At 45.9% G+C, this 18,824-nt stretch overlaps 1 protein-coding gene across 2 annotated transcripts in view, besides 1 other annotated feature; it reads left to right on the plus strand.

The window, feature by feature from the left end:
• ZNF362 (zinc finger protein 362) overlaps positions 1 to 18,824 on the plus strand; it is a 173,198-nt gene that overhangs the window by 106,588 nt on the left and 47,786 nt on the right. The window contains exons 1-2 of one of the 2 annotated variants that reach the window (XM_047447107.1): positions 4,470 to 4,587; positions 4,712 to 4,826. In XM_047447107.1, the coding sequence (XP_047303063.1) occupies positions 4,735 to 4,826 (92 nt within the window). In that variant the 5' untranslated portion in view covers positions 4,470 to 4,587; positions 4,712 to 4,734. Of the gene's footprint in view, positions 1 to 4,469; positions 4,588 to 4,711; positions 4,827 to 18,824 lie in introns of those variants that run through there. The other variant, XM_047447108.1, reaches the window with a different exon arrangement.
• Positions 10,048 to 10,632: an enhancer, noted in NCBI's record as "NANOG-H3K27ac-H3K4me1 hESC enhancer chr1:33709758-33710342 (GRCh37/hg19 assembly coordinates)". NCBI's record gives its function as "activates a minimal SCP1, AML or CMV promoter by ChIP-STARR-seq in naive H9 embryonic stem cells {active_cell/tissue: H9 hESC(naive)}" and the evidence as "EXISTENCE:reporter gene assay evidence [ECO:0000049][PMID:30033119]".

An 18,824-nucleotide genomic window follows, 5' to 3' on the forward strand; every position in this document is an offset into this window, starting at 1 on the left:
GGGCAGTGGAACTTGGATTACCCAGAATACAACCCCTAGGGTACTGATGTGGCCTAAAGTCAAATACTGCTCCTCAGTCAGAGAAACTTGGGCTCCAATCCTAGCTGTGTGACCCTACACAAGTTACTTCACCTCCCTCTATCTCCATTTCCTCAACTTTGAAATGAGTAAACTAACACCTGCCATGAAAGATTGTTATATTCGCATGGCACAGAGCCCAGCATACAGTAGGAGCTCAAATACCTTAAGTTTCCTTCCCTCCCCACCCACGCCGTGTCATCATTTTTGCCAAGGGCTACATCAGAAGAACAAATGCTAGGAAATTGGCTTCTTTCCACTTAAAAAAATCTCAAAGGAGAAAGTAATCTTTGTGATTTAAAGACCCCCCACCCCATCTTGTACTGACCAGATCCCCCGACCATCCAGGGGCCTTTGAACTCATTCAGCTTTGGCAGGAAATGGACCCTCCGCATCAGAGAGATCGGAAGGAGCAGGCCCTCCCTGCTGCCTTCCCGTTGAGCGAGAGGAAGCAGGAGGAACAGGGAGGTCTAGGACCAGCACGGCAGCTGGGATGCTGGTCCTGACTTGTCCACTGGCTCCCTGTGCAGCCTTGACCAAAGCCTGCACCTTTCAGGGCAGCATTGCTCCCATCTGTCCAATGGGGTCGGGTCCACGTACTCTGAGGTCCCTTCCAGAGCAGGCATTCTATGATGCAGGAAGTGGGACCCCTCTGCTGCCAGGGAGATCAAAGAGTGGTTTCCCAGAGGAGGCCTCACAGCTGCCTGCCCTCTGAGCAGCTCCTGGCTTCCTGCTCTGCATGGAGCCTGCTGTTCAGCCCTGGGAATGGCTGAGGCCTCAGCTGAGGTCGATCATTGGGCTTCCTCACTCCCCCTGCAGTCCCGGGTCATAGATTTAAGATGCTTGACTCTCCTCTGTTAGTCACCTGTGATGGAGGCACCGTGTTGTGTGTTCCTCAAGTTTAATTCGTAGGAAATGTCTGTCTGTACCTTAGGACACTTGGGAACTCCTCACTTTACTCTTCTGGAACCTCCCAGGACTCTGCTTGGTAATGGACCATGTTCCTCGTCATCCAGCCTCTGAGGCCCTGCAATACCGCTTTCCTGTGCTGATTTCTCCTTGCTCAAGGCTTTCCCCACACCTTTGCATGTGCTGTCCCTGTCCCACCCCGCCCCCCAGGCACTCCTGGCCAGACACATGATTAGTTTTCCTAGGTTATCTCTCTTCCTCACGATGCCTGTAAGGGAGACACTATTGCCATCTTCATTTGCCAGGAGAAGGAAACAGATACTTGGAAAAGTGAGGTGTCATTTTGAAGGTCTCCAGCAAACTCCAGGCTAAGCCTAGCCTAGGACGTGGCCTCCTCTCTCCACATCTGTGCCTTGTTAAAGAAAACATTCTTCAGGGATACTTGCTAAAGCACAGTAAGGCAGACTTTACTCAGGACTGTCACTATAGGTGTAGGGACCACTGCAATAGGATTTTGTAGTGGAGGAGTGAGATTGGGCTCAATGCTGAATACAGAACAGGCAAGTGGGAATTTATAGCCCGGAAGCAGGGTGAGGGTCAGTGCATGGAAAATTACTAAGAGGAAACATCAGAGATAAGGGAAATTCTGGCTAAACTGACCTAACAGGATTCTTGCTGAAGACAGGCCAGGGTGGGCATAGGGGTGGACCTAGGAGAAGGTTTAGAAGCCTGACTAGAGTTTGGTCAAGCAGCGGACCTTTGTCAGTCTTGTCAATGCTGTTCCTCCCTCCTTCTGTTGGTCAGGACTCTTGGGTTTGCACAGCACAGAAATCCAACTTAAAGATGCTTAAGCTGAAAGAGAAGTTACTGATTTATTGGAAGGGTGTTAGGGTAGACCTTAGAGGGAGATTCAGGAGCCAGACTGTTGGGGGTGCAAGTGCTGACTGTTGCCCCTTCTAACTGTGCAGCCCACAGCAAGTGAGGTCACTTCTCAGGGCTTCACCTTCCCTATTTATAGGACGGGCTCATAGTAATACCTCCTTCACTAGGTGAAGGCTGGATTAGCGCAATGAATTAGCACAGTGACTGCAGCCCACCTTGAGAAACATACTTTATATCATCACCCAGCACACACATAAATCGAAGACAAATGCTCATAAAACAGGCCGGTTGCAGTGGCTAATGCCTGCAATCCCAGTACTTTGGGAGGCTTTGGGAAGATCGGTTGAGGCCAGGAGTTTGAGACCAGCCAGGACAACATAGTGAGATCCCATCTCTACAAAAAATGAAAAAAAATTAGCCAGGTGTGGTGGTGTGCACCTACAGTCCTAGCTAGCTAGCTACTCAAGAGGCTGAGGCAGGAGACTTGCTTGAACCCGGGAGTTCAAGATACTGTAGCCTCCAGCCTGGGTGACAGAACAAGACTCTGCCTCTTAAAAAAAAAAAAAAAAAAAATATATATATATATATATATATACATACACACACACAATATTTGCCCTTACTACTATATGTAATATACTCTGATAATTTATGTTGTAGTTTAGTCTAGTCTAGTGTAGTCTATTTTGTTTATTCTTAAAAATGCTGACACTCAATGTTTTCACCACAAAAATATGATAAGTACATGAGGTGACCGATTTGTTAATTAGCTTTATTTAATCATTCTACTATGTAAACATATATCAAAATATCACATTGTGGCCAAGCACAGTGGCTCACACCTGTAATCCCAGCACTGAGGTGGGTAGACCCCTTGAGATTAGGAGCTCGAGACCAGCCTGGTCAACATGATGAAACCCTGTCTCTACTAAAAATACAAAAATTAGCTGGGCGTGGTGGTACATGCCTGTAATCCCAGCTACTCGGGAGGCTGAGGCAGGAGAATCATTTGAACCTGGGAGGCGGAGGTTGTAGTGAGCTGAGATCACACCATTGCACTCCAGCCTGGGCACAGAGCGAGATTCTGTCTCAAAAAAAACTCCACAGAACAAAACCACACATCACATCGTACCTCATAAATATATACAATTATTTTTTCAATTAAAAATAAAATTTAAAAATTTTTATTAAATGCTGGTATCAACTCCTTAAAATGATTTAATGACTCCTCCCCCTGCCATGGGTTGTGGTTTGAATTAGAAAAATATTATCTGTTAAGAGCTTAATGAAGCATCTGGCACATAGCACAGTTTAATAGATGTCAGGTACTGTTACTGTTGTTGTTGTTAAGAGCAGACTGACCAAGGCTGCAGAAGGACAGGCTTGATTGCAACAGACACTTCTGTGCAGTCAGGACTATCTCACTGGTCTCTTTCTGTGTGTCAGCATCTCTTCCCTACGCTGACCTTCTCCTCACAGTTGCAGCCATGGCTGCAGGCTGCTCCAAGATGACATCGATATGGCTCTACTACCAGAAAGGAAAAGAGTGCTTTCTCTTTCCCCCTGAAGCTTCAGTAATAATCGTAGCTAACATTTATTGCGTGCTTATGTGGACCAGACGCTGTCCTAAGTCTTTATAGTATTCTTCCCCTCAGTCCTCATGATGATCTGTGGTGGAGTCGTTGGCAGAGGATGGCTGGATGTACATCAGACCCATTTCTTCTTCCTGGGCCCACAAGTAAACTGCATTTCCCAGGCCTCTTGTAGCCAGGTGGAGCCATGTGACTAGTTCTGGCCAATGGTATGTGAGTAGAGGTTTCTCTTTCTTTACTCCGTCAGCTGCTGAGGACAGGGAAACCTCGAAGGCTGTGTTAAAGACGCTGGAACCACATGCTAATAAAAATGAGCATCTATGAAATCTATGAATCACTTCATAGAGCTTTTACCTGCAAGGGCAGAGTTTAACACAGGATTGATAGTTGTGACAGAGACCATATACTCCTTCTCTCCCAAAGCTGAAAATATTTACTATCTAGCCTTTTATTTAAAAAAAATTGTGACTGGGTGCAGTGGCTCACGCCTGTAATCCCAGCACCTTTGGGAGGCCAAGGCAGGTGGATCAGAGGTCAGGCGTTCAAGACCAGCCTGGCCAACATAGTGAAACCCTGTCTCTACTGAAAATACAAAAAAATTAGCCAGGCGTGGTGGCAGGCACCTGTAATCCCAGCTACTCAGGAGGCTGAGGCAGGAGAATCACTTGAACCTGGGAGGCAGAGGTTGCAGTGAGCTGAGATCGCACCACTGCACGCCAGCCCGGGTGACAGTGTGAGGCTCCGTCTCAAAATAACATAAAATAAAATAAAATAAAATAAAATAAAATAAAATAATAAAATAAAATAAAATAAATAAAATAAAATAAAATAAAATAAAAAAAGAGATCTCTGCTTCAAACTAAAAAATAAAATCCCTTGGAAAGCCCATTTGAGTCATGTGACCGTGGCTGAACCAATCACAATAGCTGAGGAAAGTGAGGTGCTGTGATTGGCCAAGCCTAGGTCAGGTGCTTGCACCTCAGCCAATCAATGCAGCTAGAAAGGAAGGGTCATGTAGCCAGAGCGAAGGGAGTTGTTATGGACTGAATTGTGTCTCCCCAGACTTCATATGTTAAAGCCCTAACCCCCAATGTGACTGGATTTGGAGACAGGGCCTTTAAAGGAGGTAATTAAGGTTAAATGAGGTCATAAGGGTGGGGTCCTAATCCGATAGGACTGGGGTCCTTATGAGAGGAGGAAGAGACACCCCCCTGAGCGTTCTATCTCTCCCTCTCGACGTATGCACACAGAGAAAAGGCCATGTGGAGACACGATGAAAAGCCCCCTCTGCAAGCTGAGGAGAGAGGCCTCACCAGAACCGGACCATGCAGGTGCCTCGATCCTGGACTTCCAGCCTCCAGAACTGTGAGAAAATGAATTTCTGTTGTTTAATCCATCCAGCTTACGGCATTTTGTTATGGCAGCCCCAGCAGGAGTGGTTTCCCAGAAGGTGCTGGTTGAGGGCATGGAGACTACCAACACAGTGAATTAGTTCTGGGAGTACCGCTGTGAGCCAGATAACACCTACTCCATCCCCCAATTTGTGTCTGTGGCACTATTATCAAATACCACTAATAATAGATTATTATATGCCAGAGTATTTATACTGGACAGACAGTGGCAGCACACTCACTCTGGTGGGGAGTTGCAGACAATGCTAAAGGTAGATCTCAGATTTGCTGTCTCCTGTTCCAATGTTGTTGGCAAGACCCCAAACGTGGGCCCTAATAGGGGCCCCAAATGTTCCCTCTGGGGTCCCCTAGATCATTTCCTGGTACTCATATACTTACTGGTACATATACTCACATGGGTTTTTAATAATACATAGTGGTACACATCAGAAAGTAGGGAAGTGCTCAAAAGAATGATAGTGTATTAGTCCGTTCTCACACTGCTATGAAGAAATACCCGAGACTGACTAATTTATAAAAGACAGAAGTTTAATTGACTCACAGTTCTGCATGGCTGGGGAGGCTTCAGGAAACTTACAATCATGGCGGAAGGCAAAGGAGAAGCAGGCGCCTGCTTCACGGGGGCGCAGGACAGAGTAAGTGCAAGCAGGGGAAATGCTAGATTCATAAAACCATCAGATCTCATGAGACTCACTTACTATCACGAGAACAGCATGGGGGAACCGCCCCCATGATCCAATTACCTCCACCTTGTCCTGCCCTTGACACGTGGAGATTACAGGGATTACAATTCAAGGTGAGATTTGGGTGGAGACACAGAACAAAATCATATCAGATGGGAACATGTCAGAAGGACATAGGAACCAACCTGAAAACGCTCCCACTGGCCAAATCAGGGATAATTTGAAAACCAAAATAAATAATGATAGTAACAGACTATCACCCATTGAAAAAATATGAATCTATGTATCCATACTGACATGAATAAGGAAATAAAGTAGGGAGAAGGGAATGCTTTTTCTTACAGTAGAATGCCAACTACTAAATATAGAAATGAGAGTTGGAAAATCATCAGAGGGTGGTAGAACTCCCGGGTGAAAGCCTGATGAGGAACAGGACATTAGTGTGGTCTTAGAGTATCTCCTCATGTTACTTATTAGTGACAAAGGGAAACATGTAACTTTACAGGGGACTTCATCAAGTGATCAAAGTTAACACAGCCTATATTGGAACAAACTGACAATCACCTGCTTCCTGATATGAGGCACTGAATTAGTGACATACCAAGGGCGGGAATCATCTGGTCTGGGTGCAGGCAGCGAGTCGCGCTTTTTAAGAATTTAAAAGTAGTAAAACAGACTAAAATTGAGGTGCTTTTTATTATCACCATGTGCCAACAATTCAGTGATAAAACAGTCTTCCCTTAAAACATCTGAGCAATTGCTCCCATTGCTTTTAGATATAATTATATATTCAGTATACATATACATATATACATAAACACACATACATAGACACATACATATGTACAATTCACATGAGCAAATTCTTACTACTTATCTTTTCGTAAATGTTAGGTTCAAAGTGGAAGTTTATCTGGAGAATTCCCAGGTAGACATTTTGCCCTGGTATATGTAGACTCTGCAAAATGTATTTGTTTGTTTACAGAGTACATTCATTTTGGTTCTTCTTGTTCAAGCTAACTTTGGTGCAGTCTGCACCTCCAACCCGTCATATCCCATATCCCTGTGTTTAAATAGTAGGCTCAAAACAAGCAGTGATAGCAGAGTGATGGCAAAGAAACTGATCCTGAGTACAATTCTGACATTCTATGTGATTACCTGGCGTTTTCCCCCATGCGTGACACTTTACAGAACTTTGGAAAAAATGTGCCCATGCTTTTCAATCTCACTTTGCTGGTGGCAGACGCTGCAGAATAAGGGTGTGACAGTGGAAAGACTTTCCCACGCAAAATGATTGCACCACACGAAGCTGTGCATGCAGTAGAGACGGTGCTTGAAAAGTGAACCCCAACCTTTGAAGTGCTGGGTAATCCAAAGGGGGAATCTGTTGAGATTTTGCTTTCTGCTGTATATGACAATTCCCCCGCCCCGCCCCACTCTGAGTTGTCCTTTTCAAGTGTGAAGTTTTAGGTAAGGTGAATCTGACACAAAAAAATCAGTCCTGATCACTGGAGAGTAAAATATCAAGCTTTAAAAAATTATGTATGGATTGGGCATGGTGGCTCACGCCTGTAATCCTAGCACTTTGGGAGGCTGAGGTGAGTGGATCACCTGAGATCAGGAGTTTGAAACCAGCCTGGCCAACATGGCAAAACCCCATCTCTACTAAAAATACAAAAATTAGCCAGGTGTGGGGGCGGGTGCCTGTAATCCTAGCTACTGGGGAGGCTGAGGCAGGAGAATCTCTTCTACCTGTGGGGGAGGAGGTTGCAGTGAGCCGAGATCATGCCATTTAACTCCAGCCTGGGCCAAAGAGCTAAACTCCATCTCAAAAAAAAAAAAAAAGATGTACGAATAAAATTTTTTACAAAGTTATGTTTACACTAAAATAAATAAGTAAATAAACAAATAAATAAATATTTCTCCTTGAAGACTGGTGTATAGAAATCATGGAAAAGTCCACTAACTATGCAATAACAAATCATAAAGGAATGAGTATTTACACAGAAAAAACGATCAAATCTCAAAGAAGAGAGTTGAGAGAAACAACAGAAGATGCCGGTCTTATGCTGCCAGAAGAAATAAAAGGGAAATATTAGAACATCTCACTGTGTTGCCAAGGCTGGTCTCGAACTCCTGGCCTGGAGCCATCCTCCTGCCTTGACCTCCCAAAGTACCTGGATTACAGGTGTGAGCCACCATGCCTGGCCCTGAAATTATTTCACAATGAAAATGTACCAACCCCCAACCCCCAACCCCAAAACCAAGCAAGTTAAGCTGGACTCAGTGGTATGTGGGGTAAAGGGGAGAGACAGCTAAAGATGACACTGAGCCAACCCTTGTGGGTGAATGGAAGAGGATGAGACAGCATCAGTCCAGCAAGAAGAACAAATTCCGGGAAAGGCGATGAGGAGGCTGTGGACACGTGGAATCTCAGATTCCTGAGGGATGAGCAGGGGGAGGTGTGCAGCAAGCCACTGAGTATGTGGTCCTGAGGCTGCAGGGGTGGATCAGGGAGGGAGAATTAACCTTGTGTAAGTCATGGAGGGGATGGAAGAGAGAGCAAGAATGAACCCTAGGGAAAGATGGCCGAGGAAGAGGAACCAGCAAAATGAACAGAAAAGGACAGATCAGAAGGTAAAGGGACAGTACAGTGACCGTGGTGTCACAGAAATCAAGGGAGGTGAGCATTTTGAGCAGGAGGAAGTGGTTGCTGGGGAGAAATGCCATGAGAAGTCACATAGGATAAGGATGAACTTTTAAAGTGGGTTCTCTCATTCCACACTCTCTGCACATAGCATCACTTTATACCCCATAAATATACGAAATTATAATTTGTCAATAATACATAAAGTGGATCCTAGCAAGCAGTTAGTGATACACCCACTAACATACCTGTGAAGACCCAGAAAAAGACAAAAACTCTCTAAGAAAGACACGGAAAACCAGCATTGAAAATCAACCCATGGCCAGAATCAAGACTTCCCACGGATTAGGAAGCGATGGAGGTGGGTTGAGAAGTGGAATTAAACCCCCTGTTGTACTTGATAAGAAAGTGCAAGGTGTAAATATCTCATTTTCCCCTCACTCTCTGCTCCTGGTTCAGAAACTGAAGATATGCTGCAACCAGAAAAATGGGCAGTTGTTGTGTTTCTAAGTCATAAATCCTGTTTTGGACAAGCCAAAGTGCTGCTTCCTCTCCTCCCTTCCCCATATATGTCCTTCAAAAAACATTCATACCAAAACCACAAGTCCCAGAAAACAGTAGGAGGTGGAGGGAGGAACCTGGATTGTGTCTGAGATTGGGGGATTCTGTTTAATATTTATGTTTTCTTTCTTTTTTTCTTTCTGTTCTATTTTTTTCGCAATGACAATGTATTATAATGAGAGATATTCAAAATAATTATATATGCTTTTATATTACCAAATCACCACAACTGTTATTATGTTATGTTATGTTATGTTATGTTATGTTATGTTATGTTATGTTATGTTGTTATGTTATTTTGAGATGGAGTCTTGCTCTGTTGCCCAGGGTGGAGTGCAGTGGCGCTATCTTGGCTCACTGAAACCCTCCGCCTCCTGGGTTCAAGTGATTCTCCTGCCTCAGCCTCCAGAGTAGCCGGGACCACAGGTGTGCCTGGGACCACAGGTGCACCCGCCGCACCACCCGGCTAATTTTTGTATTTTTTTTTTTTTAGCGGAGATGGGGGTTTCACCATGTTGGCCAGGCTGGTCTTGAAATCCTGACCTCAGGTGATCCGCCTGCCTTGGCCTCCCAAAGTGCTGGAATTACAAGTGTGAGCCACCATACCTGGCCCCAAATCACAACTTTTAAAAGTGTTTGGAGGGAATACATCAAAATCTTAGTTATTATAAGTGATGGACCTGAAGGAGATTCTTCCTGTTTTCCTTCGACTTTTATGTATTTTCTTTTCTTTTTTTTTTTTAGACGGAGTCTCGCTCTGTCGCCCAGGCTGGCGTGCAGTGGTGCGATCTCAGCTCACTGCAAGCTCCGCCTCCCAGGTTCATGCTATTCTCCTGCCTCAGCCTCCCGAATAGCTGGGACTACAGGCGCCCACCACTACAACTGGCCAATTTTTTTTTTTTTTTTTTTGTATTTTTAGTAGAGACAGGGTTTCACCGTGTTAGCCAGATGGTCTCGATCTCCTGACCTCGTGATCCGCCCGCCTCGGCCTCCTTTGCAAAGTGCTGGGATTACAGGCGTGAGCTACTGTGCCTGGCCGACTTTTATGTATTTTCTATCATAAGCATGCATCATTTTTAGAATGGAAAAAAATATGTGTAATTTACAGAAAAAAGGAAAAGTGTCCATGGATTTGGAGACTGATGAAAGAATTGTCAGTGGAGGGATGGGATGGGGGAAGCAGGATTGAGGTTCCCCTGTGTAATCACTATGATGTCTACAGTACTTTCTGTTTTTCAAGTGCTTTTACAAAGCAGAGAGCTTTGTTTTTGGTTTTTGCTTCCTCTCTGATTCTCCTTCCCCTTCCCGTCATTCCCAGAGGGGCAGGGCCAGGAGATGTGTGTTCTAGTATCAGGGATGAACTGTTTCCTTATATATCACATGCTTTCCCAACTCTTTAGTCTTCTGTCTGGGCCTAGGGTTTTGACACTTTAAAGGCCAGACCAGGATCCCTTTGTTGTCTGTGTTATCACGTCATCTCTTCCCTGAGGCACTAACCACCGGAATGCCCTCACTAACTGAATTCATTCATTCAACAAATGTTTATTGAGTACAGAGTATGTGCTAGGCACTCTTTTAATCACTGGGCATACTACTGTGAACAAGACAAAGTCCATGGAGGAATGACCAAGGGGACAAGGACATTTTGTGAGCGAAAGTCCTTCAGTTCATATTTCAGAATCCTATCTCACCATGGTGCTAATTGCTCTGATGCCACCCTTTGTGGGGAGGAGAGACTGGGAAGGCACTTATGGCTGAGGTGACAGTTACAGAGTTGCCTCAGGCTCCACAATTTACTCTGCTGTGTGGCCTTAGATCACTGGCTTCATCTCTCTGAGCCTCAACAACTTCGTAAAATGGAGATCATGAGAGCTGCCTCATAGGATTGTGGTGAGGATTAAAAGGGAGTGGGGGCAAGGGCCTGAGTGTGGGCCTGGCTTGGAGGAGGTACACAGTAAGGAACAGCTATTAATATTGTGTTGGGTTTTTTGGGTTTAATCGCTGGGATTTTCTTCATGGGACTGCCAACCTCATTTTATCAGCCTTGGGATTCCTGTCATTCTACAAGGCTGACAGACTTAGCCAGAGGCTCCAGCCCTCAGCTCTGCAGAAGCAGAAATTTGTTTTTGTCAGGTGCACAGGGTCTAGTCTGGGTGAACTCAGGCTGCCAGGACTCCTGGGAATTTGATGAATGAACCAGGTGTCAGGTGGCTCATTTGTAAGCAGGGCTTCTCCTTCGCAGGGGCCTGAGTGCTCAGGTCCACCATCAAGGCTGGGAAAAAGCTCTGATGTTTAAAGTGTGAGGCTGGGTCTGACCGATGACCCTTCATTTAATCCACTCAACCACCATTTAGATGGTATTTGCCCCATTTTTACAGGTGGAAAACAAAACCTGGGGCTCAGAGATGGATCATATTCTCAGAAAGGATTGGAGTTAGTTATTAAAATGTTGCTTCAGAGTTCAGGACCAGAACACAATGAGGAGGACTGATCCATGCCTAATCCTGAGGCATATACGAGGGATTTTTTTTTTTGGTTTACAAATGACATAGGCTTGCTATAGTGGGTTAAATGGTGCCCACCCCCCACCAAAAAAAGAGAGATATGCCCATGTCCTACCTCCCAGAACTTGTAAATGTGACCTTATTTGGTAAAAGGATTTTGCATGTATAATTAAGGATCGTGAGATGAGATCTGAAGATCATTCTGGATTACTACCTGGGTAGGCATACAACTGTGAACAAAAATCCAACAGCAAGTGTCCCTATAAGAGATGGAAGGAAGCCAGATGCAGTAGCTCATGCCTGTAATCTCAGTGTTTTGGGAGGCCCAAACGGGAAGATCGCTTGAGGCCAGGAGTTTGAGACCACCCTAGGCAACATAGCAAGACCTTGTCTCTACAAAAAATTTTTAAAAATTAGCTGGGTATGGTGGCATGTGCCTGTAGTCCTAGCTATTCAGGAGGCTGAGGTAGGAGACTCACTTGAGCCCAAGAGATCAAGGCTGCAGTGAGCCATGATTGCACCACTGCACTCCAGACTGGGTGACAGAACAAGACCCTATCTCAAACAGAGAGAGAGAGGGAGGGGGAGAGAGACAGCTGTGGGAAGACAAAGGCAAAGATCAGAGTTATGCACCCACCAGTAACTGGAAGGGACAAGACAGGATTAGAGCCTTAGGAGCCTTAGGAGGAGGGAGCATCGTCCTGCTGATGTCTTCTATTTGGACTTTGGCCTCCAGAGAATAAATTCCTGTTGTCTTAAGCCACTGAGTTTGTGGTAGTTTATTATAACAGTCCCAGGAAGTGAATACACCTACTCAAAGGGGGATTTGATTGACTCAATATAGCCAAACCAAGGGAAGGGCTTGCAGTTAGGCCCAACTCCAGGGTGGCTGGGACCAGGCAGGGGAATGCTGCCCTCTTGTCATGGGATGTCTGTTCTCTTGGGTGGGGCCGTGGCCTTGGGTGTCTCTCGAGGAAAGACCAGGAGAAGGATTCTGATTGGCCTGGCTTGGGTTATGTGACCCGCTGGTCCCCACCAGGAACACTCCCAAAGAAGGGGCCTGGCAGGCAGCACCAATCGATGTTCACTCAGGCCATGGAAAAGCCTGGGAATTGCTTTTTTCCAGGTGGGTGTAGTGATCAGAGTGGATGCTCACATAGGACTGGGTCCCCAGTTCAGAGGGCTGAGGTCTGAAGTCAAGCCCACCTGAGATGGTACAGCTCTCCCCTTCCCCTCCAAGGGAAGCCTCTGCTATTTCTCTGTTCCTGGTGATTTATGCCATTGCTTTGATTTTACAGCAACTTTCCCTTCAGTGTTTTGCAGGCCACGTGCAGGAATTTTGTTTTAGTGGATGACTATTATGTTGCCTGCCTAGTGGCTCCTACTAACTCTGTGACTGGCCCCTTCTCTTACTCCATCCCTGAAGTTGCTATAGGCCATTATAGACCCTGCCTTACTGGATGCAGTTATTGGTTCAAGGGTGGCTGCCTGGCTCAAGCCAGACCAGTGAGGGTAGATGCCTGTAGGTGGCTGACAGTCTGAACTGAAGGTTGGAGTAGCTGTTGGTGCTCTATGTTCCTTACCTTCTGAAGAAAGGTGGAGAAAGAATAAAGCTGATGTTCAAGAGGTGCAGAGAGGAAGGAGGCCTTGCGATGTCCTGGTCTCTGGTTTAATTGTTCCTGAGCCCTCTGCTTTTTTCACACACAAAAAGCAGAGGTCTCAGGACCTCCGGCTGTTCAACCCTTTCTAGAATTAGTAGACTGGTAACCCATTTTTTTCTGTTTATTTGCTGGTCTATGGTGGATTTCTATTTCTAGCAACCCAAAGTTTGCAAAAAGAATTTCCCATTACTATGTATGAACAAAGTCAAGTCTAGAAAAATATGCTCAGGGCAGGTCAAGTATTGACTTCATTTTATTTTACATATAGAGTAACTGAGGCACAAAGAGGGGAGTGAACCACCCAAACCACACAGCGTGTGAATGGTTTGAGCCAGCACCCAAAATGCAGGGCTGCGGCTATCTTCCACTTGGAGTCGTTTCTTTAAGGACCTTGCCCTAACGCTGGCGTTCTGATTTCTGTGTGACTTAAGAATGGCTAGCCTTATCCCCCTCTGCCTCAATTTCCCCATCATGTCCCTATGGGCATTCAATTCCTGGCAAAAGGCCGAACCAGATGTTATGATGTGGGCTGCTTTGAATTCTCAGGGCCAACAAAAGGCTATTATTATTTAATTACTGCAAATGGTAATTAAGAGGGAAGGTAATTGTCAGCCCTTTCATTATGGCACTTCTGCCCTTTTCCTCTGGCAGTCCCCGGGCCAGTCTTGAAAGGGAGCTGGGTCCAGATGTGCTGCGAGGATCCAGCACGGGAGGATTGTCAGCCCAGATGGGGGAAAGGCTGTAAGTAGTTACTGTCATCGGCCTCGCTTTCTGAAGACAATTTATGGATGATAGAGCCCTTCCACACCCATGAGCTCCTTAGACTCGGTAGGAAAAAGGAGTGAACAGTCATTGAGCACTGGTTGTCTTTTGGGCACTGTGCTGGGCACTCTCCCTTCTCTGGGTGAGGTCAAGTCCCCAGAAGTCCAGCAAGGTGCCTTGCTTATAGCAAATGCTTGCTAATTGTTGGTGTGTACTGCTTCTAATCCTGGCACACTGACCTGTGAAGTTTTATAAATGAGAAGACTGAGATCTTTCTAGATCCTAAAGCTAGTGCTAACCAAGATTTGAACCCTGTATATCTATCTGACCTCAAAGCACTAATGCTCTTGCCTTATAACTTGCCACAGGTACTACTGGCCCATTTCAAAGTTGAAGAAATTGAAGCCCAGAGATGCAACATGGCTTGCCCAAGCTCACTGTAGGATTTAACATTGTCAGGACCTGGTGCCCCATGTCCTGCCCTGCCTGGTCAAGGCTCTGCCCTCCTGCCCATTTCACTGCTATCTCCCTCCATCCCATAACCCCCAGCTCACTGCTGATGGTGACTGATGGTGAAAGATGACTAAGACATAGTCTTCACCCTCTGGCTAAGAGAACACTAAGCTCAACTGCAGATCTATGTAACCAGTTGTCACTGCCTATAACAGACATTGCTAATCAGTCACAGCATTCTTCCTGCTGAGAACCCAGATTACTAGTCCTTTGAGATTTAGATAAAAATGGACTGGAATTTCCTATCTCACATCTTGAAGAAATCCAGTGATGGCCCCAAGATTTCTTCAAATTCCAGTGACTTGCAAAATTGTGCTTACTTTCAGCCCCAGTTTTCTCCTCCCGGCACACCTTTCATCCCTCCTCTGCTCATCTTTCCTCTCTGCCCAGTGCCAAGCCAGGCAACCCTGTGCCAACCTCACGTTCAGTATGCAGGTTATTTTACTGAGATTGAAGGAGATGGGTTGTATCATAGCAATGCAAAGGGGAGCAAGTTGAATAATGGCTAGCTCTGCTCTTCAGAGTCCTTCAGCCACCAGTGCCGGCCACTGCTCTTCTCAGGCTCTCCCATTTTATGGATCACCCCCACACTTCAAGATAATGCTCAAATATTTCAACCTGTTCATTTGCTGAGCCCCCTCACCTTCAAAAATTCAATCTCCGTCATTTTTTATTGTATGAAGGAAGAGATATGTATTGAGCTTACAATCTGATGTCAAAGCAAACAATTAGAAATCAGAATGAATAATTACAGCTGAGATAAGTCTGTAAAAAAGGAAAGGTAGGTCCATGGAGCTATGAGAGTATCCTGAAGATGGTAGAAGGTCACCCTCAGGATGTGGCTGTGAGCCACATGGTGGGTGAGGAGGAGCTTGCTAGGTGACAGGGCAGAGATGGTTGGGGAGCACATTCTGAGAGGAGTGCCTGTGCAAAGTCCCTGTAGCAAGAGGAATCAGCATGCCTTCTGTGAACTCCAGGGGGCTTGTGTGGCTGGAGCACCGAGGCCAAGGGGGAAAACAGTTCTAGTTGGGGATGAAAGGGTTGGCAACGACCATGCCATGTAGAGACTTATACGCCATTATCCCCATCAGCTTATCATGTAGAGCAAGTTAGATCTCCATCTCCTGCTCAGCTCATGGACAGTTTTGGTTTACCCAAAGCTCCATTCATATCTCTGCTTAACAGGGCCAAATGATACTCAGAGTCTCCCCAGAGAAAGTGATAGAAGTTTTCCCCTTCCTGCCCCACTCCCCCAAGAAAGTGGAAAGGAGAGTACAGAGAGATTGAGTTTCACACCGACGTGAATTATGCCACTGCCCTTGGAAGACAGAGCATCTAGTTTGCGGTTTAAATGACACTTTTCATCTGGGTCATAACCTGGGAGGTACAGATGAGAAGGGCTTGAGAGGTTCTTATTGGGTGTGGGTAAGTGCAGGCTGGTGTTCTCAGGGAAGATTTTCCAAGGGAGGCAAGGTGGGAACAGGTCCCTGAAGAACAGGCAGCCAACATTACTCTGGCCTAACCCACACGTTCTCTTTTAATACCTGCTCTATAAAGTAGGTATTTGCATCCTTAATTTGCAGAGACAGGAAGAAACTTGCCTAAAGTCACTATCTTTAAATGACAAAGCTAGGGTTCAAACAGCTCTCTGGGACTCTTAAACCTAATCTATTAGCTCAATCTACAGCCTCTTTGAGGGAAACAAAATGAGCAAAGGTAAAGAAGTGAATGGGCAGACAGTCATGTGCTCATTCATTCATTCATTCATTTATTCTCTTGGCAAATGCCATACAGCACCCACTATGCACCAGGCACTGCAGTAAAAGAAACTCTGAACCAGGAGTTAGAGGACCTTAGCTAGAGGCCTGGCCCCAAGATGTAGCCAACCACTTCCCTTCTCTGGCCTCAGTTTTTTCCACTGTGAAATGGGGATAATGTTCCTACCAGCCTCCCTCTCAAGACTACTGTAGGGGGTCCAAGTAGAAAGTGCATGTGTTCAGTAGCAAAGACATGGAATCAACCAAAATGCCCATTAATGATAGACGGGATAATGAAAATGTGCTACATATACACCATGGAATACTATGCAGCCATAAAAAGGAGCGAGACCATGTCCTTTGTATGGACATAGATGGAGCTGGAAGCCGTTATCCTCAGCAAACTAATGCAGGAACAGAAAACCAAACACTGAATGTTCTCACTTGTAAGTGGGAGCTGAACAATGAGAATACGTGGACACGTAGTGAGGGAGCAACACATACTGGGGCCTATTTGGGGAGCAGGGGGAGGGAGAGCATCAGGAAGAAGAGCTAATGGATGCTGGGCTTAATGCCTAGGTGATGGGTTGATCTGTGCAGCAAACCACCATGGCACACATTTACCTATGTAACAAATCTGCACATCCTGCACATGTACCCTGGAACTGAAAAGTTGAAGAAAAAAAAAGAAGAAAGAAGAAGGAAGAAGAAAGAAGGAGAAGGAGGAGGAGAAGGAGAAGAAGAAGAAGAGAAGAAGAAAAGAAGAAGAAAGAAGAAAGAAGGAAGAAGAAGAAGAAGAAGAAGAAGAAGAAGAAGAAGAAGAAGGAGAAGAAGAAGGTGCATGGTTGATGCTTGAGAGCGTTTTTAGTTCTGATCGGAGGTACACCCCTCCTCCTACAGAATGAGGAGGTGGTTAGCTAGCTTGATGACAGAGAGGGACATTTAAGCCGACATGAGAGAGGAGCTGAAAGAAGTATTTCCAAAAGAGAGAATGGAGTGTGAAGGCCATGAGGCAAGGAGGAGCTTGCCACACTGAAGGGACAGAAAGAACAGGGAATCTGGAGTGGAATGAGGTGGGATTGCAAAATGACACTGAGGGCTAGATGTCCCAGATGAGTCCAGGGTCAAGGTCCCATGGTGAACATGCTGGGGATACAATGTAGTGGAGCCAGCCTTGTGCTGGGCACTATGAGGGCTGCAAAACCTGTGAGTCACCTGGACACCTCCTGCTTTCTTACTCCCCACATCTATCAGTCACCAAGTCCTGGTAGGGCTGATTCCTTAATAAATCCCATGTTTGTCCACTTCTCTCCACCTCTGCCAATGCCAAGGTCCAAACCATTGCCACCTTTCACCTGTAGGACTCTGAAAGTCTCCTCACTGCCCCCAGCACCCCCACCGCTTCCCTACTCTGCCCATTCCAGCCCATTCTCTCCTCAGCAACCACATGGACCTTTTGGAGAAAACTCTGCCATATCACATCTCTGCTTAACACCTTCCTGGGACTTCCTTTACCCTTAAGATAAAATCCTAAACCCTTACCTATCTGGGCCTGCCTACGACATCTAGCCCTGAGTGTCACTTCACAGCTCCCCTCTCTTTTCTGGCCCTTCAATGTGTCAAACTCCTCCCTGCCCCAGAACCTTCACGTACTGTTCTCTCTGTTGGAAACACTCTTCCCTGGTGTCAGCTTAATTGTCCCTTACTCTGGGAATCCCTCCCTGATCTTCTCTCAGACACTTCCAGCCTCGTATGAGACCTAATTAAAGCATTACTTCAGTAATTATTTGCTAAATTCTTTCTCCTGGGACAGACAGTGGAAGAGCTCACCCATGTCCAGTCTATTCTCTTTCCAGAGGAGCACTGTATTTCCCAGCCTCCCTTGCAGTAGGCAGGACCATGTGACTAGTCTTGGCCAATGGATGGTGAGAAGGGGTGGGTGTGTCACCTCCAGGCAGAAGCAGTGAAAAATCCATGCCTGAAAAAAATCATCCATTCTCGGCTGGGCGTGGTGGCTCACGCCTGTAATCCCAGCACTTTGGGAGGCTGAGGCGGGCAGATCACCTGAGGTCGGGAGTTTGAGACCAGCCTGACCAACATGGAGAAATACGTCTTTACTAAATATACAAAATTAGCCAGGTGTGGTGGCATGTGCCTGTAATTCCCAGCTACTCGGGAGGCTGAGGCAGGAGAATCACTTGAACCCAGGAGGCAGAGGTTGCGGTGAGCCGAGATTGCATCATTGCACTCCAGCCTGGGCAACAAGAGTGAAACTCCATCTCAAAACAACAACAACAACAACAACAACAACAACAACCAGAAAAACCATCTATTCTCTTTTCTTCTGCCATGGTAACTGAGAAGGTCACAAGTTCCAGTGGGTGCAGCTCCAAAATGGAAGGGACTCCTCAGTCTAGGTCTCTGAGTGACTAAAGTAGAGAAACCATGATGGGCATGTGGCACAAGTGGGCAATAAATGACTCTTGTGCTATGTCACTGAGATTTTGGAGTTCTTTGTTACTGCGGCATAGTCTGGTTAAGACAGTGCTCTATTTGTGCAGAGCTGGGGTCTTCCTCACTGCTGCCTCTCCAGAGCCTGGGACCCTAACTGAAACACTGGAGTAGGTGCTTTGTAAATACTTGAATGAGTGAAAAAACAGAAAGTGTGAGACATGGTTCCTTCCTTAAATAATGTACTCTAATCCAAGAGATTGATTCTTATACACACAATAGTTAGAATACAATTAGGGGCTAACTGCTAAAAAAAGAAAGGGAGAGGGGTTAATGGGCTGGAGCTGCCATGGAGGGCCTCCTAGAGGAAAGCTTTGCAGAATTGGAGAGGATGACAGTGGGCTTGCTGTCC

The sequence above is a fragment of the Homo sapiens genome, chromosome 1, assembly GCF_000001405.40.
Source record: "Homo sapiens chromosome 1, GRCh38.p14 Primary Assembly".
Lineage (NCBI taxonomy): Eukaryota > Metazoa > Chordata > Mammalia > Primates > Hominidae > Homo > Homo sapiens.